This window comes from Homo sapiens, chromosome 15, assembly GCF_000001405.40.
Source record: "Homo sapiens chromosome 15, GRCh38.p14 Primary Assembly".
NCBI classification, from domain to species: domain Eukaryota; kingdom Metazoa; phylum Chordata; class Mammalia; order Primates; family Hominidae; genus Homo; species Homo sapiens.
Genome location: NC_000015.10, coordinates 69,591,748 through 69,613,809, shown reverse-complemented (window position 1 = coordinate 69,613,809; position 22,062 = coordinate 69,591,748). Strand labels below are relative to the sequence as shown.

The window sequence follows — 22,062 nt, the reverse complement described above, 5'->3', positions numbered from 1 at the left end:
CCTAAATAGGCCTAAGATTTCAGGGTTAAATACAACTGCTGATTTGATTGCATTTTTTTCCACCATCCTAATTAATTCATGTGGATGAAAAGTCCGCTGTGAAGAACGCACAGGAGGTGAAAACGAAAGATTCCAGGGATCCATTGGAAGCACTACCAATTAACTTACTGTTCTGTGAAAATCATTAACACGTGAAACTGACAAAATTAAAGCATCCATACATTTGCCAAGGGAGTATACAATGACACAGCATGTCTCCAAGTTTTTCCGTAGAATGTTATCTGTTAATTTTATTTTTGACAATTCCTGCCCCTGTATCTTCAGCAAAACGTTTTTTCTCCAAATTAAAACCAATTAAAAACTATTTAAGGAACACTCTGTGACAACAATGTTTAACAGAATTAACACCACTCGCTGCAGAAACAAGGCAGCAGAAGTTGCGAAACTTATCGGTGATTTTGCTAATGCCAAATCACAACGGGGACATTTTAAGTTTTCTTCTAATTTTCAAATTTGTCTGTGTTGCCTGCATAGTTTTTGGTGCTGACATGTTTTACAGTATAAGTTTTGAAGTTTGTTTAAATAGTTTTTTGTGTGTTATATCATGAAAGAATGATATTTGGTAATGAATATGGTTTTCTATTTTATTGTGTACGGGAAGGCACTACATAAAGGTTGAACCCATTATTGTGGAGTACACCACTGTATCAAGAAGAATCTAAGATAGTTACACTGTATTTGTGCAGTGAGTAGCAACACTAAGGAATTACAGTTCTTCTGAAGGGCAAAGGGGAGAAACAAAATGTTCCATCTTTGCTATGCACTGTGCCATGCATTTTACTACATTCATTGTTTATTTTCATCTTTCCAACAACTCTGAAAGGCAAGAATGTGCCTATTTTTTTTTTTTTTTTTTTTTGAAATGGAGTCTCCCTCTGTTGCCAAGGCTGGAGTGCAATGGCGCGATCTTAGCTCACTGCAACCTCCGCCTCCTGGGTTCAAGCAATTCTCCTGCCTCAGCCTCCCGAGTAGCTGGGATTACAGCTGCGCACCACCATGCCTGGCTAATTTTTGTATTTTTAGTAGTAGAGACGGGGTTTCACCATGTTGGTCAGGCTGGTCTAAAACTCCTGACCTTATGATCCGCCTGCCTCAGCCTCCCAAAGTGCTGAGATTACAGGCGTGAGCCACCGCGCTCAGCCAAGAATGTGCCTTTTTACAGGTGAAGGGATTTTAATTTGGGAGATTAAGTAACTTGCTTAAGGTCAAATGACATGGAAAGATTCTGATCCAGGTCTATCTGGCTCTAAAACCCTCATAAGAACAAAAAAGGCTCCCATGAACCCAAGACTGTAAGATGTTGTCTGCCTGCCTTAATGACTGGCTGGAATGGTGGAGCTGGGGGTCACAAGGCAATCTTAGGCTTCTGACGTGATCTGAAGGCATATTTAGCATCAGTACAATCCCTTGGCACTGCTCCAAGAGCTGCCCCATTTGAGCTGAGGGCACTCACAACATTACCTCTATAATTAGGCCTGCCAGATAGGTGCTCAAAGGGCCACCTGGGGAAGGGCAAAGACTTAAATGTGAGTCTCAGCTCTGCCATTTATAGCTCTTGGGCTAGGCACTTAAACCTGCTGCACCTGAAAAGCACATTTAGGAAAAAAAAACTGGGTGATGGGGGCGGGAAATAATCTATCAAACATTAAAAGGCTGTCTGGAGGAATCACTTAAATGACCTGCGGAAAAAAATCTTTGGAAAGTAGCATATATACAGGTTCTTCTGCAGGCTATGAGCCTGCAGTGAAGGGGCACTGGCCCAGGTTCAGGATGCTGCCTTAGGTCTTTGTTGCTCAAAGTGTGGCCCACAGACCAGCAGCATCGGTATCACCTGGGAACTCATCAGAAATTGAGGCTATTGGGCCTTAGCCCAGACTTCTGATTCAGAATCTGCATTTTGACAAGATTCAAGTGTACACATTCAGTTGGAAAAGCACTGCCATAGGCCTCTCAGTCTGGCTTTCCAGGTCTCAAACTCCAGGGCATTTAAATAAGAAGGTTAGCTTCATTCACTTCTCAATTATTCTTATTTCAAAAATAGAATTGAAAAGGCTCTTGAAGACATCCAATCCAGGAATGGTGAATACCCGCAAGGGTGCAGCCATCCTTCCCAGAGACTAGAGCAGACATTGCTAATCAATCAGGAAACTCTTCCATGGTGCTCAAAAGCAGCTGCACCATCCCCTCCACAATGCAGTCCAGAAAGCCTGATGGCTCTTCCATAATTACCATGGGTATGAAACCTATTTACCACCCCTGACCCCCGCTATGTGGCCTAATCCCTTCTTTATTCATAGGTCGACCTTATCTCCAGTTTAAGCCCATTTTCCCAACATGCTATCCAATTTAACATTCACCCCTTCAAAAGTGTTCAACAAATTATATGGTTACACTGCTTAAACAGAAACTGAGTGTTTCCAAAATTAAATGACGTCCCCAAAGATGGAGAATCCTATTCCTCTGGCTCAACTCTCATCTTCATGTCACCTCTCTGTTCCACCACCCACTTCAACATTTTAGACCAAGGGAGGGAAGACTTTAAACCTCACAAAGAAGTTTAGAACATTACCCTGGTGCTCCTGAAATCCAAGGTAGAAAGACAACGGAAGTTTTTTAAAATGCTCTGAGACCTCGAACCACACTCCCATGTCCCCTGGCCACCCAGCCTTGTCACCTGCTTGGAGCTGGAGCTGGCATCTTCATGACCAGGAAACGGTGGCATGCTGAACCTGCCTCCCCCAGGCTCTTCATTCAGTGTCCCAGCCGCCTGCCTCAAATGCTACAGGCAAAGCACTCTGAAATAGGGTGATATTCTCAATTTAATTTTTGTTCACATGTAATAGGAGATCGATACCCTCACTAAGCTGCTGTGCCCATCAGCCAGTAGGAAGCAGCCTATGTTTTTGGAAGGCAAATCGTTAAGAACTAGAATACAGTATAGGCATGTACACCGGCTGCATCCAATTTCAAGTGAAAATTAATGGCAAATTCTTGTAACCACATTAAGAGCCATTGTCGTTCATTTGAAATCAGTTAAACATGAAAACAATATGAAAACCTTCTTGAGTTCATGGAACATAAATATTTGTCTGTATTTTTTGCCAGTGCCCCAGAGAGACCAGGAGATGCTGGCAGATCAGTGTTCTAAAAACATGCTCATGAAGGGGGAAAAATAAGGAACCTGACTCTTGTTGGGTTGAACTACTTGTCAACTTTTCCATTTCCTCAGTCAAAAGATAATTAAACAGTAAGCAGATGTCAGAATCTAATTGATGCAAGGAAAGATTGCTCAATGTCTTATGGTGCTTTGTCATTGTTATGTACTGTCTGCAAATAGCCCCTTGGCTGGTACAAGTAGCAGAAAGTCAACCAGTTAGCTTCTCTTCCCATGGAGGCAGAGGCTCTCCCAACAAACATACCTGTGTTCAGTCACTCTGGGTGTCAAGAAGCACATAAGAAAGTTTCTGGGACAATGTCTTAGGCATATTAGAACAGAGAGAAGCTGTGGCTTTTCAGAAGAGTGGGGAGAGGGGAAAAGGAGAAAGAGAGAGATAGAGAGGATGGGGGAGATGGAGGTGAAGAAGGGAAAGGTTGAGAGATGAGAGAGAAAAAGAATAGGAAAAGACTCAGAAAAAGGAACGGTTGGCAGAGGGAGAGAGTCCCAATATGGTAAAATCAAAACGGCATGGTCTTCAGAGTCAAGCCTACTGCTTGGTCATCCCTTTCCAGCTGTGGGAACTTAGACCATGTATTTGACTTCCCTGAGTGCATTCTTTCCACTGACCATTGGATATCATATTCCCTGCCCGGGCCTTCCCACGGCTTGATCTGAGATGTAAGGAGTCATAAGTATCAGAGTCTGAACATTGCAAAAAACTGCACAACTGCTTCAATTTTTAAAAAAAAGAGTAGAAGGAAATCGGGTGAAAGAGAATTAAAACAAAGTTGGGTGCCAGGACAGTGGCTCACATCTGTAATCCCAACACTTTGGGAGACTGAGGTGGGCAGATCACCTGAGGTCAGGAGTTGGAGACCAGCCTGGCCAACATGGTGAAACCCTGTCTCTACTAAAATTAGCCGGGAGTGGTCATGGGCGCCTGTAATCCCAGCTACTCAGGAGGCTGAGGCAGGAGAACCACTTGAACCCGGGAGGTAGAGGTTGCAGTGAGCCGAGATTGCGCCACTGCACTCCAGCCCAAGCAACAGAGTGAGACTCCATCTCAAAAAGTAATAATAATAATAAATACAGTGGGGTGTGGGAGAGCTGTCTCTCTGTTATGCTCCCTTATGGGGAACCCACAGCAGTGCTGCTTGGAGTTCAGTGTGACTCAGAGATGAGTGAAAGAGCTCTTTCAGATTCTACTGTAGATTCCTCCCCTTAAAACACACACACACACTCTCTCTCTCTCTCTCTCTCTCTCTCTCTGCTCTCCGTGGGAGAGCATTCAAATGGTGTCCAGGAACCGAGGTGGACAACAGACTTGAAAAACAACTGCCAGCTGGGCACAGTGGCTCACGCCTGTAATCTCAGCACTTTGGGAGGCTGAGGCGGGTGGATCACCTGAGGTCAGAAGTTTGAGACCAGCCCTAGCAACACAGTGAGACCTCGTCTCTACAAAAAAAAAAAAAAAAAAATTTAAAGATATTAGCAAGGTATGGTGGTACGTGCCTGTAGTCCCAGCCGCTTGAGAGGTTAAAATGGGAGGATTGCTTGAGCCTGGGAGGTCAAGGCTGCAGTGAGCTGTGATTGCACCACTGCATTCCAGCCTAGGAAATAGAGTGAGATGCTGTCTCAAAAAAAAAAAAAAAGAAAAAAAAGAAAACAAACAAACAAACAACTGCCGTGCTATGTCCATAATGTCAATCCACATACCACTGGGTAAAATCATCGTCCATGGCTTCCCCCTTCAGGATGCACCTCTTCCGTGGAGGGCTGTCAGCCACCACTTGCAAACAGACTCCCGTCAGGCCATCTCACCAGTTACCAAACAGCCAGCATGGCCAGTAAGACTAAAACTCAGATTCTTATTGTGTAACTTATTAGATGCTCTGTTCCAAAGAAACAATTGACTAATGAACTGGGGGGTTCACACTTCGTCCCGTCTCATCTCTGACACTACCTTACTGTGTGGTCTCAGATCAGCGCGAACACCCTCTGGGCTTCCACTTTCCTATATGGGAAATGATGTGGAACAGCTTGAATCTAAGAATCTTTCTACTTGTGACATTCAAAGTCTTCACAATTTACCCATCTGATATCTAAGGTAAAAGCTAGAATCCCCTTCCTCTTTACATCCCTCCAGATTCCTTTCCACACTCCTTCACTCCTCTACCCACACAGGAAGGCTGACCTGCAGAGACTTTTTTTTTTTTTTTTGAGTTGGAGTCTCGCTGTCACCCAGGCTGGAGTACAATGGTGTGATCTTGGCTCACTGCAACCTCTGCCTCTCAGGTTCAAGCAATTCTCCTATCTCAGCTTCCCGAGTAGCTGGGACTACAGGCACCTGCCACCACGCCTGGCTAATTTTTGTATTTTTACGAGCGACGGGGTTTCACCATATTGGCCAGGCTAGTCTCAAACTCCTGACCTTGTGATCCGCCTGCCTTGGCCTCCCAAAGTGCTGGGATTACAGGCATGAGCCACCACACCCGGCCCCTGCAGAGACTTTCTAAGGGGCTCCCTTGCGCTCTGGCTTCCAATTGGTCTCAATTAAGGGGTGCTCATTCTCCTGACTCACCGGAGAGCTCTCCCCAAGCTGACTACATCTCTGTGGAAGGTCACAGCCCTGTGGTCTTCTCTGCAGGCCTTCCTCCTTCCAGGTTTTGTTAACAGTTTCCTCCCCTCGCTTCTTCAGGCCTAGAAGTGGTAATAGCTCTCCTGCTACTGGGAGTACCTGTTGGTGGTAATAGCCCTGGGTACTGTCCCTTGTGGTTCTCCCACTCCCTGCCCACACCTAGGTAAGTAGTCACAAGAGGGCCTCTGTGTGGTAACATGGAATCAGGGGGCAAATGAAAGGAGGGATCAAGGAAGACATCCAAGGAGAGGAGGCCTTTGCAAGGTTGGCCTCAAACCTGTTTGGAAGAACAGGAAGAAGTTTATACAGGCAACAAAGGGGGATAGCATTTTAACCAAGAGAATGGTGTGGATGCAGCCAGGAGGCCAGGCATTCTGGGAAAGGAGAGTAGACCTGACTGTCTGGAGGGAAGACCTTGGGTAGAGAAGGAATGAGGGGCATGGTTGGAAAAGCAAATGAAGGCCAGATGGTAGCAACCTCGAACGTGAGACGAAAGCCTGGGACTTCATTCTACAGGCAATGGAAGACTCTGGATGGTTCTTGAGCAACGGAATGGCCCAATCACACTGAGCTATTTTAGGAATGTTAAGCTGGTGGTGGAGAGCAGATTGTAGTGTTACCAACTGGGTAGCCCTACGCAAAGGGAACAAAGGAGGATGCCAAAAGTGACTCACTCATCCGCCATTGCTCCTGAGCAGTGGGGCAGAGGCGGTACAGACGTTCCCCCCCAAGCAACTCTCATGCTTATGCCAGCCTCAAAAGAGCAGAGCGGGAAGTGCATGGCATCCTGAAGATGTAAGGGAAAACACATTCTTGGAAGAGATCTCCTCTCAAAGCCATCCACCCACAGCCCCCAGAATAAGGGGTAGGCAATCTGTTTCTCCTGGCATCTGATTCAAAATGCTCCCGAGGCCAAGAGGACCTAAAAGAATTCCTCTGCTCGTGTGTGTGAGAACAGCCCAACAGGGGACCATCTGTCTCAGAACAAGCCCCCCAATGTGGAGGCAGAAACAGTAGCCCCCAAAGGGGTGCTATTTCAGTTTTCAGGAAAGCATTCTGCAAATGTTCCCAGCCATTAACTGGGGATCTCTCTATAGCACTCTGTTAGTTCTCTGCTAAATAGAAACCAAGTGGGGGCCACTGTCCCTGACATCTCAGTGTGGACATGTTTAGGGTGGGAAGATTCTGAGGGCTCTGATCATCTGAGATAGTACAGACCCAGCAAGCAACAGAAAGCTGAAAGGGATGCAGATTCAGGAGGCAGAGACTTCACAAACTACCTGCGAAAAATTCTGCTCAGGATTGACCCTATATCTCCTCCTTGAAGTGAGTGCTGTTAGTTCTAGATGGGCCCAGGAAGGGACCCTTCTTCCCCAGGGGGTGCTCCATGGCCCACTCTAAGGTCCACTTCCCTGACCGTGCCCTAGTGATATGGAGTTTCTATAGTATTTCAAGGGAGGCACGATGGTTGTTTGGACTAGGGAGGAAGCAGTTAGAGAGCCCGTTTGAAGAAAGCTCTGCAAGACTCAAATATTTAGGGATCTAGTAGATGAGACAGAGCTAGCAAAGGAGGATGGGGATCGGTGAGCTGGAAGGGAAACCAGAAAGCGACTGTCACAAAGCCAAGAGAAGGAAGTGGTCAGAGGCATTGAATGCTCTTGGAGGGTGAGTATAATGACAACAATTATAGAGGTCATTGATGATTTTGAAAACAGCAGTTTTGGTGGAGTGGAGGAAATAGAAGACCTACTTCAGCACCTCTCCTAACCTCTGGGGTAGATATAGTTATCCTCATTTCACAGATAAAGAAGCTGAAGCTGAGAGAGATGATCTGACATGCCCTGCTGCCTGTAATCACAGGACCATTGATAGTGAAGCTGATGGTGATGTTGATGATGGTGACGATAATGGTGACGGTGACAGTGACGGTGGTGATAGTGATTGCGATTTTAATGGTGATGGTGATGTTGGTAATGTTGATGGTGAGGTTGAGGATGATAGTGACATTGGCAGCTGTTCAGATAAATTTTCTGTTCAGTCAGAAATTGATCATGATTATAAAGTAAAAATTACCTGGTCTGTAAAATCAGACAGATCCAAAGCTATATCCAAGCCAGTCAGCAACACATAAGCTTTACAACCTTTGAGCCTCAGTTTCTCTAGCTGTGAAATGGAGATGCTATTGCCTGCTTCAGAGGACAGTTGGGAGAATGACATGCATGGGGAAGCACCGGGTTCCTAGTAGGCCCTCAATAAATGTTTGTGTAGTGCATTTGTTTCCAGGGCAAAGTTAGAGAGCGCAGTGAGCATCAATGGATGAGTCTTATCTTCCCTAACTGTTCTAGCCCTCCCCACCCTAACTCTACTCCCCAACCTGAGTGAACTCCAACCCTAAGAGAAGACATGGGCATCTTGGTGACTGCCTGCTCCCCAGGATCCCTACTTCATGCCCACACATTGCTCTGGCAATGGTGCCCTGCTGGGATCCCCACCACCCTCTTGTCTGTCTTCCCGGTTGATGCATGCCCAAGATACTCTAAAAGGAAGAGGGATGGGATAAGCACTAATACTTACCAAGTACTACTATGTGTCCAGCTTTCTGCTGGTATTCAACTGGGAGAGAGGTGGTGTAGGCTTTTAAGAGCTTGGGCTTTGGAATCAGACATGTCTGGAATTAAGTACTTTCCCTCCTTAAGTTGTTATTCAAATATCACCTTCTTCAAGAGGCCTACCCTGACCATCCTATTTATACTGCACCCTCACCCACCCACCCTGCACCCACAACACCTTCCCAGTCACACTAAATCTGTTCCACTTTTTTTTTTAGAGACGGAGTCTCACTCTGTCACCCAGGCTGGCGTGCAATGGCATGATCTCAGCTCACTGCAACCTCCGGCTCCAGGGTTCAAGAGATTCTTGTGCCTCAGCCTCCAGAGTAGCTAGGATTACAGGCACCTGCCATCACGCCCGGCTAATTTTTATATTTTTAGTAGAGACAGGGTTTCACCATGTTGGCCAGGCTGGTCTTGAACTCTTGACCTCAGGTGATCCACCTGCTTAGGCCTCCCAAAGTGCTGGAATTACAGGCGTGAACCACCGCACCTGGCCCTCTTCCACTTTTTTTTTTTAATCCCTTTCTAACTTGCTACATGTTTTTCTTATGTCTTATGTTTGCCTGGCTTTTTTCCACTGGATTGTAAACTCCAAAGGGTAGAAATTATTACTTGTTTTGTTCACTGGTGCATCACAACAGTTAAAATAGGGATGACACCTGGGAAGTGCTCACTAAACATTCACAGAATGGATGAAGCAACAGCTCTATCCTTAGCAACACACACATAAAAAGTAGTTCACCTATAATTGAATTTGAACCAGATCTGTCTGGCTTCAAAAATCAGGGCCATTTTTACACCAATAAATTTCAAGTTTCTCCCTGGTCATAGCCCCCTACTTATTCCCACCCCTAATCTCTAGAATATTTTCATCTTGAAGTCTCACTCTTAGATCAATCCATTCAAGTATTACAGGGCTCGGTTGCTATTTGAGGAAGACTGAATGTTTCCTGGATTCAAGAGAAGCTCACTTCCAGTTCAGGCACCATGCACGATAAGAGGAACCCGTGCTCTGTGATAAACCAAAGAGAATAGCTCCATCCACCCCAGCTTGCCTTATGGGAAGCAATTTCCATTTTAAATGCTCCCCAGTCAAGTCAACTCCAGGTCCAAGGGGCAGGACGCCCAAGGTCTAGTCTGTGTTTGCTCCAAGAGGTCCACCTACTGGGAAGATGCAGGTAAGTCAAACAAACCTGTTTGTCTTCCCAGTACAGCAAACAGGAAACAGGGCTTATTCTTCTGCAAGGCCTCCCTGCTGGACCCGTGAGGCATGATTAAAATAATGGGAAGGCAAATATTTTCCTGGAGAAAATGATAAAACTGGAGGCAGGGAAAGCAAACAGTGGCTTTCAAAAGGGCAGCTGGCATGGAGCTGCCCCAGGAGGAGTTAGGGAAGATTCCAGAAGGGGGGAAGCATGTGGTCATGAGCTCCTGGCTTGGAGGAATGTGAGGGCTTTGCTCAAAGCCCCAAGCACTTCAGGCTCAGGGGGAAGCTATGTTATTCACTCTTCTTACCATTAGAATTATAGTTGTTTTTGAGGTGGAGAGAATTCAGGCAACAAGGTATAGGACAGGACAGAGCTCAAGCTAAAAGCCAGGGGTGCTTGGGCTTGAATTCTATTACTCATTCATTGATTGATTCATTCACTCATTCATTCATGCAGTCAGCCAGCCCCTTCAGACATATATATTGAGCACCTATTGTGCAAGGCTTTGGCTGGTGCTATGTGGTCTTGAGCAAGTCCTTTATCCATTCTGAGCCTCAATGCTCTCATCTGCAAAATGGGGCTGCCACAGGATTGTTGGGAAGATAAAAAGTGATGTTCAAAAAAGCACTTAGCACAGCGTCTGGCCCATAACTGACTTTCAGATACAGTCACCTTGGGAACCTCCTCCAGCTGACCAGTCCCTCCCTCCTCTTTCTCCACACTCCAGCCAGGTGTCCTCATTGTCCCACTACCTATGGCCCATCATTCAGTCTGGCCTCTTGGCCTTTTCGTGCTGTTCCCTCCACTTCAGATGCCCTTCCCACTAAGCAATTTCCACTCAGGGATCCCACAAGGACTCTAAATCAAGCAAGTTCCTGATCAGCCTCTTTACCCTCTTGTCCCTCCAAACCTAGTCCTTCTGTGCATCCCCCACTCCTGCCTTTCCAGAGACCTGGGAGGCCTCCAAGGAGACTCCTTCCCACTCAGCCAGTGCGGCACCCATCAGCAAGGGTCATGCAGCCTCAGCTCAGTCATTCTGCAGTGCCCGGCATGGCTGACTCACTCAGGGCTCTAGTTGAGCACAAACTTTTCTTTCCCTTCTTGACGTCCTATCCCCCACTGAGACCTTAAAGCTCTATTTAAGCACTTGTTCCACCAGGAAGCCCCCCTGACTCCCTCAGTCTGGATTATCCGTGTTCCTTGTGTGGTTTTCCCCAGAGCACCTGAGCTTCACTTAGCCAACACATCACTCCATGCTATTCTGAAGAGCTCCTCCAGGCCTAGGAACATGGTTCATTTATCTCTGCATCCTCGTGGTCTGGTCAAGTCTTCTTGGCACCTGGAGGACTCAAGAAAAGCTTGAACTGCATGGCTCAAATCTAGGTCCTAGAGGTGGGGGCTCTGATGACATAAGACTCACTCTGTCGTCTGGGGTGAGGATGGAGGAAAAGGGGTGTTCAAAGACAGCTTCCAGGAAAAGGAAATGCACAGACTTGGAAGGGGAGACAAAGTTAGCAGAGAGAGAGGGTGGAGGGGGTCCCGGGCTGAGGGAAAGGCACGTACAAAGGCCTGTCAGAGGCTTTGGGGGCCCTGAGAAGGCCTGGGTGACTGGCTAAGAGACCTTCAGAGGTCTCTTAGCACCTTTTCCTACAGATGGAAAGGCTCTGAGGGTCCTGGGCTGGGGCGAGGCATGAGCACACTGTATTTTGGGAAGATCTATAGAGTGCTGTGTGGATCAACAATCAAGAGAGGTCACACAATCAGTTAGATGGCCAATGCCAGGCTCAACAGGAGAGCTGCTGGTGGCCTGGAGAGAAGCAGATAGAAGGATGCCAGGACAGATGGGGTGGGATCAACGCCACGTGGTGATAGATCATGTGTGAGAGACAAGGGAGAGAGGGGTCAGGATGGCCCTGCGAACTAAGGAATTCTTTCCTCAAAGGCCCACGGGCCTCCAGCTGACCCCTGCATGATGACTCCTCCCTCCTCCAGACCAAGACAGGGGTTCCGCCACCAACAGCTGACCAGCCAGGCTCTGCTCTCCTATTCCAAGAACAGAGGTCTCTCTCTGAGGACTCAAAACTGTCAGAAAGTTGCTCCCTTGACTGTATTGAAAGTGAATCTCCTCTACTTCCACCTTTCCGTCCTAGCTCTGCCCTGAGAAGAGGGAAAAATTAAAGGTGGAGAGGCAGCTGGGGAGAGAGATAGCACTTACTGAGTACTTACTATGTGCCAGGCATGGTAACAGGCACTTTATCAGCAAGTTGCCATTCTCCTGTGCAATAATCTATGAGGTGACATATTTATTATGCCCAATGGCTAAGGGTGGAGCAGACAGCATGGGTTCAAATGCCAGCTCTGCACTTTTTACTTTTGTGACCTTGAGCAAACAAATTAACTATTCTGAATTTCAGATTTTTTCATCTAAAAAATGGAAATATTTATTATCCCTAATTCACTGGGTTGAGATTATGGGCAAAAAGCATGGAGCACATTTTACAGTATGAATTCAATACATTAACCTGTTTTCATTGTCTCTATTTTACAAATGAGGGAACAGCACACAGTCACATGCGAGAGCTGATTCAGACCCAGGTCTCTCGGCTCCAGGGCCAGTGCTCTTTCCTTCACTCCACCATCTTGCCTGCCACCAATACTGTAAGAAGCCACTCCACGGAAGCATTCCAGATGGGGGTGCTCTGTGTAGTACAGTCAGGGAGAGTGGTGCTGACAAGAGCTGAAGCTGAGGCTGAGGAGGGCAGGATTGAGGGATTGAGAGTCTTTTTCCTCACTCAGGCAATAGCAATGCTTGTGGAATACCTGCTGTTTGCAGACCTTTGTGCCAGACCCTGTAGGCAATGCAGAGGAGGGAAAGCATGCCCTCTGCCCTCAAGGAACTGAAAATCTACTTGGAAATATGAGGCACACAAATATGAATTCATTGATGGCCAATCAATGGCTGTATAGAGAAATCAATACCTGTTGCATTTCTTTTTGTTGTAATGTTAGCCCAAACCATGAAAACCACAGTCCTAACAAATGCCAAGGCCTGCATTTGGGATCAAAATGATTAACTGCTCCAGGAGCATCCTGGCTTGGCAACAGGCCATGTGAAAAAGACCCAGGGGTTTTAGGTAACCCCAAAGCTTCATATGAGCCCATGTAAGGACTGTGGCTGTTTCAAAAGCTAATGCGATCCTGGGGTCAGAGATGGAGGTGTAATGTTCAGGTCAGCAGAGGTAACTGGCACAGGGCTCTTTTGGAAAGCTACCAGCCCTGGGTGCTATATTTCACTGGGAAGGCAAACCAAGAATGTCACCCAAGAGGTGAGAGTTCAGGAGCCATGCCCCTTGAAGTGTCATCTAAAGAAACTGTGAACACAGGCCTGGGCAGGGAAAGGGCTTGGTTGAGTGTGGGTGTCATCCTCAAATACCTGTCATGTGTAGGTAGCCTGGCAAGGCAAGAGACCAGCGTCCAAGCTCCACAACTTACTGCGTGGGGTGACCTTAGCAGGTGACTTAACTCCTTTGAGCCCCAGTGTCCTCATTGGAAAGATGAGAAAAATCACTCTCTATGGTGTTGTGAGGATTAAATGAGATAGCAGAGTTGTATACAAAGCAGTGCTCAGGAAAGCTTCATCTCCTTCCTTCTCTAAGACATTGAAGGCACGTTTTGAAATGGAAGAACATCATCAGCTGCAAAGGAGGAGAAGGGGGATAGATACATGCCCTCACTAGCACGGCTGAAGAGGGCAGAGTCCCAGTGAAATGGCCCACCAGGGTCCAGAGATCCTAGAAGGAGGTTCTACAGAGGGGCCTCAGGGAACCAGGGTCATGAGATAAACACCGGGGTATGCAGGCTGCCAAGGAGGAGAGGTGCACCCAGCACAGGCTGGGGTTCACTGAAGACAGCCTTTCCCTGCCTCACAGCTCCTTCCGGAGACCTTTGCCCCCCTCCCACCCCTCTGCCTGCTGCCCTCAGCTCATCCCCATGACTCCATGGGAACAGACATCTCCAGGGTCCTGGTTTTGGTCCTCCCAGAAGCAGACCCTGAGACAAGGTCCTGGGTGCGTGTAGTATAACTGAGAAGTGATTCCAGAGAATGAGAACTGGAGGGACAGGAACAGAGTGAGACAGGGAAGGGAGAGAAGCTAACCAAGTGTGATTAATAAGCAGGACACCACTGTGGGCAATGAAGGCTCAATACCTCTGAGCTCCCTCTGAGAAACTGAGTGGACTGAGCTCTTGGAGCTGGGAGGCTGGGCCAGTGGTCCACCAGCTTGCATGCCCCACTGGTGAGGGTTGTCCTGGGGCATTCACACTTCTGAATTTTCAGGTCGTGCCTGCCTGCAGCCAAGCTGTGCTGGGGAAAGCCCTCAGGCAGAGAGGCAGACAGGCAGAGAGATACAGGCACCATCACCGTGTCCCGGGTACAGCCCAGACTGGAGAAGAACTCCAATGAACAAGAATGCCGTGGAGTCTCCACAAATCTGCCACAGTCACCACTGACTCCACATTTTAATTTATGGCCTCTTACAGCTTCTTGCTGCACTGATGCTCATCCTCAAAACACCTGCAAGAGGCCACCAGGGCTGGTTTTCCTCTTGCTGCTCCATCTGGTCCTTCTCAGGCCAGTGTGCTGGCTCCTTCCTTCCCTTGCCCTTCAGTGCTGAGGTTCCTGGGGTCTGCTCCTGAGCCCTCTTCCTTCCTCACTCTCCTTCAGTGTCTCACAGGTCTAACTGCCTGAGAATCTCCCAGGAAGCGTGTTAAAATACAGATTCCAAAGCCTCCCCGTAGACCAACAGAACCAGAATCCCTGGGAACGCAGCCCACAAAGGTGCCTTGCTTTTAACGTGCTCCCAAGGTAGAGTCACCAGGCAAAGCGCAGGATGCCCAGTTAAATCTGAATTTCAGATAAACAATGAGAAGCAGGGCAAGCGAGGTGTGTGCCATATGTGAGACATACTAAAAAAGTATTTGTTGTTTATCTGAAATTCAACTTGTACAGGGTCTCCTGTACTTTCATTTGCTAAACCTGCCAACTGTAAGCCAAGGCTATTCTGATGTACCATAAAGTTCAAAAACTTCTTTTCTGTACGCTCCCTGAGTTACTGCTGCCCACACCCCAGTTTCGATTACCAGCTGCACATGGCTGACTCAGATTTCTTTCTCACCCAGACCTCTCCCCTGAATTCCACGTATCTGATGACCTACTGGACATCTCAAATTCAACATGTTCAAAACTGAGCACGTTATTCCACACCTCCCCCTATACCTGCTTTCCAACTCTGTTCTTCCTCCTTCTTTCTTTCAGTGGGTAGCGCCACCATTCACTTGCTGCCCAAACCAGTATCCACAGGGGTTTTCTCTCCCATTATCACCTCCATTCTCCCTAGACAGTTACCAAATTGTGTTGGCTACAGTTCCCAAAGTCCTTTGCATCCAGGTGCTAGGCTAAATAATGGCCTTCCAAATATATCCACGTCCTAACCCCTAGGACCTGTGAATGTTAACTCACATGGCAAAGAGAAATTTGCCAATGTGATTAAGAACCTTGAGATGAGATTTTCCAGCTGGGCCCTGAATATCCACAACAGTCCTTATAAGAGGGATGCAGGAAGGTCAGAGTCAGATAGACGGTGATGTGATGATGGTAGCTGAGACTGGAATAATGCGGATTGAGGATGACAGAAAGGGGCCATGAGCCAAGACATGCAGGTGGCTTCTAGAAGCTGGAAAAGGCAATCTGGGAATAACGTCTACCCTAGAGCCTCCCAAAGGAACCAGCCAGACTGACACATTGGCTTTAGCCCAGTAGATTGATTTTGAACTTCTGGCCTCCAGAATTGTAAGAAAATTAAGTTGTGTTGCTTTAAGTTTAAAATTTGTTGCAGCAGCAAAAAGGAAACTGATACAATCCATCCACTTTCTCCCTTCTCATTAGCCCTACCTGGCTTCTATCCCCATCCACTACAACCTCCTCATAAGGGGGTCCTGATTCCAGCCTTGCCTCCTCTGGTGCATCCCCCATAGGTCCACCAAAGTGGTCTTTCTCCTGCTTCACACCTTTGATGGCTCCTGATCATGGAGGAAAAGTCCAGACCTATCCTCAGCTCAGATTTCAGGACTTGCTCCCTGCCCACCCCTCTCTCTTCATCTCCCTCCACTTTACACCTTCAGACTGCTGGATTTCTGAACTCACCTCATGGATTAACTGTCCATGTTCTCGCCTATGTTAACATAGCGAGAACTGGACAGGCCCATGTGGCGACTGCAGCATGAGGTGGCATTTGGGGGGAATCTCAGAGGCAATTGAGAAGACTTTCCTGGTGGTCCTGCTTGAGCTGCTGGAGAGACAGATAGGGTGTGTTTGTGCTATGTGGGGGCCTCCCCTGCAGACACGGTCTGGAGAGCACCCAGGACACTGGGATCACACACTCTATATTTTTTCTTGGTGGGCCACCTGCATCCCAGCCACCTGCTGGCTTATTTATAAAGCAGATTCCTGGGCTCCACCCCAGACCAACTGCATCAGAAGCTTCGAGTAGTGAACATAAGCAACCTGCACTTTAAACAAACCCCAAAGGGGGCTTCATAACTAGACCCACATTTCTGAAGCACTGCCTTCTCCTGACTTACTGGCACCTCGGAGGAAAGTATCATCAGGCCCATTATCCAGATGAGAAAACCAAAGTTCAGAGAGGTTAGGTCACTGGCCTGATGCCTTACAGCTACTAAGTTGCTGAGTCGGCATTTAAAGCCAGGTCTTTTGAGTCCACTGCAGGTGTTCTTTCTATCACTCTCCTTCTCTCAAAGAGAGAAGAGATCACTGGGGGGCTTCAGAAGCAAGGTCCCAAGGGACCACCTGGCAGCGCCTCAACCTGGGCTGGCCTGGGAAGCTGAGCAGGATCTAGAGGGGAAGGCAAAGGAATCAAGGGCTTCCATTTCCCAAGTGTCTATGGCATTGAGCATGGCACTGTCACCACACACACATGCAGTCTCATTTTATCCTTGCTTCAGCCCTAGAGGCTGAATGTTACTGTTCCCATGTTGCGGGTGGGACAAGTGACACTCAGAAGGGTGACATCCACTCTTGTGAATGTGTCCAGTAAGTGAAAGAACAGGGGTGGGAACTCAGTTACCCCTGGCTTGAAAGTCACGCTGTTTTCTACTATAGCTTCAACTTTTCTTTTTTTAAGAGCAGAAGCCACTCTTCAAATGAAGTCTGACACAAGATCCCAGGATGCCAGAGAGGTGAGACCGAAGCCAGCTGATGGACCTCTCCATCCCCATTGCTAACACCGAGGCTTCTTTCTCCACAACCACAGCCCACATCACCCATCTTCCAAGCAGAAAGGAAAATACACCTGCAGGGAGCTGGGAAGCGGGCCACCAGGATAAGGCAACAGCAGGGGGGCTCCAGCTGGGGTGGGCCAGACCCCGAGGCCCTCCCCGACACTCCAAATGCAGAATCAGCTTTGGAGGGAGGGATCCCTGTTTCCCCAGGTGGCCCCACAATCAGGATGACTGCTTCAGGAATGCTTCCATCTTTGGGGCTTGAGTCTAATCATGCCAACCTGCCCCCTGCCAAGTCTCTAAAGAAATCAGGCAATGGTTCTGACAAGTTTTGAAAGGCTTCCATTGCTCTGTGAAACATTCTTGTGCAAGTACCTTTAGGAAGGAGTCGCATGCGGTAGGTTTCTCAAATGTCTTCTCCTCCTCTGTCAAAGGAAGGAGGGAAGGAGAGAGGCCAAATAGAGTGGTGCATAAGGTGTGTGCTAACTTTGAAAAAAAGGAAAAAAAAATCACAGCTGTCCACCTTCCTGCAGCTGCTTCACGCCTAGGCTGCCCGGTTCTCTTCTGCCTGCCTGCTCTTTCCTTCTCAACGTCTGGAGATCCAGGAGTTTTCCTTCCTCCCAAGATGCCACTTTCTGAAGCCAAGGCCAATGGTATGGCAATCATGACCCCCACATCATCACAGCTGCCTAAGTACGGGCTCCCCTTCTGCTCCAAGTACGGGCTTCCCTTCACTCCCACCACAACCAAAAGGATCAACATTCAAAAAGGAGCAGTGTCTAATGCTCATTTATGGTCAGTGTCATTCTTTTCATTCCTAATCCACCCCAACCTGGGAGCCGTGGCAGCCCGGCCTGGAGGAGAAGTCTCCAGGCATCAAGATGTGTTCGGAGCCCCTCAGCACAGCCTCTCTGGGCGTCTTTCTGCTCCAGCTATGGCCCAGCAATGAGGACTGGTGACTATGGCACAGACAGCCCCTGAGGCAGCCCTGGCCTTCACCAGGCTATAAGCGCTCTCTCTATCGCCCTCCCAGTAGCGGACCAAAGGTGAACCTGGATGTGACCCTGCAGAGCCTGAAGGAGAACTGAGCTGGTGCAGCCTGTCCCCAGGGAGGCCCTCTGGCCAGCGTGCCTGGCTCCCCTCCCTGCCCCATGCCCTCCCACAGGCCCAGCCTTGGCCACTTGCAGCATTCAAGAATGCACGAGCCAATCCCTTGTGGCAAAGGGGAGGAAGTAGAGCCAGGGACAGATTGTTATAAATAGGCATGTCTGACTGAGAAGGTCACCGGCCAGGGCAAAACATGCCAGAAATTCTACAAGAGAGAGACAGACATAAATTATCTGAGCATCTCACCACCTCTCTCTTTCTCGGGGTGGAGAACAGGAGTGAGTTCCAAGACAGGGCAAGGGTAAGCAGGTGGCCACGGACATCCAGCCAGCAGCTGAAAAGGCTCTTCTATCGAAGAGGCACTTGTACATTGCATCTAGTTCTTAAAAAGGCTGGCTTTTCTTGGCACTCACAAGAGACTGGGGAGAGCCCCAGCTGGAAAGCAGGAGGGTCAAAGAGGCATAGTGAGCCCCTCCCAGCCCTTCTCTCTTTTCTAGCCCGTCTGCTCCTCAGCCTTGTCCTGCACCTAGCCTAGTGTGTCTCAGCAGGGGGAGGTTTTGCCCTCTGTCCTTTCCCAGGGGACATGTGGCAATGTCAAGAGACATTTTGGTTTCTCTGGACAATCAGGAGCGGGTGCTACTGGCATCTAGAGGGCAGAGGCCAGGGCTGCTGCTAAACATCCTACAACGCAGAGGATATTCCCCCACAACAAAGAACCATCCGGCCCCAATTGTTAACAATGCCAAGGTGAGAAACCCTGGCCTATCCCCTCTCAGGAACCCACTCCACCTCCAGACACCCTCCTCCTTCCCATTCATTTCCAAGGGCCCTGTCGAGGCAGCCGGAGCACACAAGTACTCATAGCTACGCAAATAGCAACTCCTTATTTGCTGTGTTTGCTCAGCCAATATTGACTTTGCAGCCTAACACTGGTGCTATTGAGCCGGGGTTATTCTCAATATTGTTTGAGCAGCATTAGAACAGCCTGTGATAACCGGCAGCAGAACAGGAAGCTGCGCCTCCCTCCTCAGTCTCCCCTGCCCCCCGCCGCACCCCCTCCGTGGGACGCTCCTGTAAAGACAGAGGAACCTGTGTGCTCATGGAGTCAAGCGGACCTAATGCCCGCTCCTCCGCTGAGCAAACACACCGAGGTTAGAGAGGGAGCGTGCTCTCTGGCTAAGTCAACACTCCAGGGAAGTTGGAGCAATTGAAAAAGGTTACTTGGGGAGGCTGTCCTTTGGGGTGGGGCCAGTGAAAAATGATGGTGAGGCAGTTCCAGGCTATCAGCCAAACCCTGCGGTTGGGCTCTGCAGGGAAAGGCTTGCAGGGACTGGAGCTCAGGGGCTCCAGGTGCCCAAGCAGACAGATGGTGACTCCATCCATCAGTCAAATACCCAGTAGGTGGGGGTCTAGTAGGGGCCAGTCGCTTACTGATTGGGACCAGAAGCTTAGAGTAGGAGGACCCTGTGGATAAGCTAATGCAGCCACCACGTGTTCATGAGGAAGACCGAGAAAACTAGCCTCTGCCTTGGAGCTTGTCTCACCAGCGCTGGCTGTGAGTTCACAACTGAGCACAACCCGCTCTGCAGGAAAGCACTCTCCCCGCCCACTGGGCTGAGGTCCCTTTAACAGATGCCAACATTGACTCTGCCACCATGAGAGTGGGCCCTAAAGCGTAGCCCAGGAGAGGGACTGCAGTGACCTCCATTCACATCCGGTGTGAGGATGGGTGGCAGGGTCTGAGTGTCTTCTCGGAGGGACAGAAGGAACGGGGAGAGAAACGAGTGGCCAGGCCTACACAAGCCCCTTGGGCAAGCAATAGAAGAGGAAGTCGCATCTCTTGCATCCCAGAGCTCACAGTCCAGAGGGAGAACCTGGAGGCACAGAAATGAAACCGTGCAACCAGCGTGGAATCAAGGCTCCCGTGTGAGTCTAAGGGGAGTCATGAGCACAGTCGTGTGCAACCTGCCCAACCACACCCCGCAGTTCTGCAGTGAGACCAGACAAGCCATGGAATATTCTGAGACGAGAAATCCACATGGAGTAATTGGGGTGGCTTTTCCTTGCCCACAAGTACAGCAAATGTAGGCTTAGCAGTACATTTGGATCTGGGCCCATGCCGTGTCTCCAGGTCAATATGAAACAAGTTGCCAGGATCATCAAGGGGGCATTCTAAAAATTAGCTCTAGCCAGCCCTAGTGGCCTGGGAGTACCAAAATGGTCATTTGCTAAAATTGGCCATTAACATTTTCTACTAACTGCTCTCTCCAAAGACTTGGAAAACGAGGGGGAAACTCCTTGGAAATCAAGTGTTATGTAGACCCTTATGGCAGCCTGGACTCCAACCTTCAGAAGCTATTCATTTTTAAAAATACATGGTGGGCATTTTCTACATGTGGTTGAGTATTTTATCCAACAGCCAAGTCATTCCAGTTTTCCCCACAGCAGACATGTTAGCCAATGTGCTGCCTGCTCAGTCAGTGCCTCCTTTTCTGACCACCCACAGGAACTGTCCCTGCCACCATGTTTATCCACATTCACGTACCTCTCCCTGGCTGCAGCTGTTGGAACAGCAATGGACTCCTGACTGAGGGGAGGCACCCCATTGGCTAGCCATTGACCAATCAGATTCTGTCTCCTGGGTCTCTGGACTTAGATTCTTGGTATTGGGCCCATAACCTGAGAGATCATGTCCAAGTTTAAGTGAACAAGTTAAAACCTAGAAAAGGCAGAACAGCCGGGTGTGGTGGCTCATGCCTGCAGTCCCAGCACTTTGGGAGGCCCAAACGGGTGGATCACCTGAGGTCGGGAGTTCGAGACCAGCCTTACCAGCATGGAGAAACTCCGTCTCTACCAAAAATACAAAATTAGCCGGGCATGGTAGTGCATGCCTGTAATCCCAGCTACTCCGGAGGCTGAGGCAGGAGAATCGCTTGGAACCCACGAGACAGAGGTTGCGCTGAGCCAAGATTGTGCCATTGCACTCCAGCCTGGGCAACAAGAGCAAAACTCTGTCAAAAAAAAAAAAAAAAAAAAAAAAAAAGAAAGAAAGAGAGAGAGAAGGAAGGAAAGAAAGAAGGAGAAAAAGAAAAGGCAAAACAGAGAAAGCCAGTCTGCAGAGAAAAGAATGAAACAAAGCTACTGAGATAAGCTGAGATGAAAAAAAAAAAAAAAAAAACACCCAGAGAAACACAGGCAAGAAGCTAGGAAAGTCTCTGAGCCTCTCACGGGTCTGGTTGTCATCCCTGCCCTTGAAGTCGGTGAGATTCCTCATAGCCTTCCAACGAAATCATTGTTATTACTGAGAGTTAAATTTATAATACTTCTATTTCTTGCAACCAAACAATTATTGACCAAGACCCCTATTAAGACATCACCTATGTGCTGCACTGTACTTGTTCAATACTGAGGATCTCACCTCTTCTTCTTCTTCTTGCCCACCTTTAGGTCTAACTGGACCTCCTTTCTCTCCTGGTATTCCTCTGTCTTCATTTCTTTAGTGCTTCCTTTCAGGGTCTCAGGTAATAATAACCAGCAGTGTGCCCCAGTGATTAGCAGATGAGTGAGCTGTGTAACCTAGACACCATGTTCCACTTAATGGTTTGTTTGCTCAGCCTACTTCAAAGGAGGCTGTTAGCCTATAAGTCAATAATTAGTCATTCAACAAATACCCATCAAGCTATGGCCCAACCCCAGCAAAGATATGTTGAAAAAAAAAAAAAACTTTTGAAGAGCAAATATAAGCCTTTATATATGGTTGACTTAGCCGTTTCTATTTTCCTTTCACAACAGAGAGGCAATGTTGATGTGCTACCAGTCCTAATGCAGCTAGAAGTTATCTGTTACACCAATGACCCCATCAAAAAGAGAACTGTTAACACAGGCCCAGTTTTTACTTTGCTTGTAGTGGTGGGGTATTAGCTAATTGTTGCCCATTAAGAGAAACAAATAATCCCCAGTGAGTCCCAAAAAGAAGTGGAAGTG

General features: G+C 48.2%; 1 long non-coding RNA gene across 2 annotated transcripts in view; it reads right to left on the bottom strand.

The window, feature by feature from the left end:
• Positions 1-21,610, bottom strand: part of PCAT29 (prostate cancer associated transcript 29) — a 103,551-nt gene extending 81,941 nt beyond the window's left edge. The window contains exons 1-2 of one of the 2 annotated variants that reach the window (NR_126437.1): positions 21,497-21,610; positions 2,735-2,855 (exon numbers count right to left, since the gene is read on the bottom strand). This is a non-coding gene — a long non-coding RNA (prostate cancer associated transcript 29). The remainder of the gene's footprint in view (positions 1-2,734; positions 2,856-21,496) is intronic. The other variant, NR_126438.1, reaches the window with a different exon arrangement.
• Between the last annotated feature and the right edge of the window lie 452 nt (positions 21,611-22,062).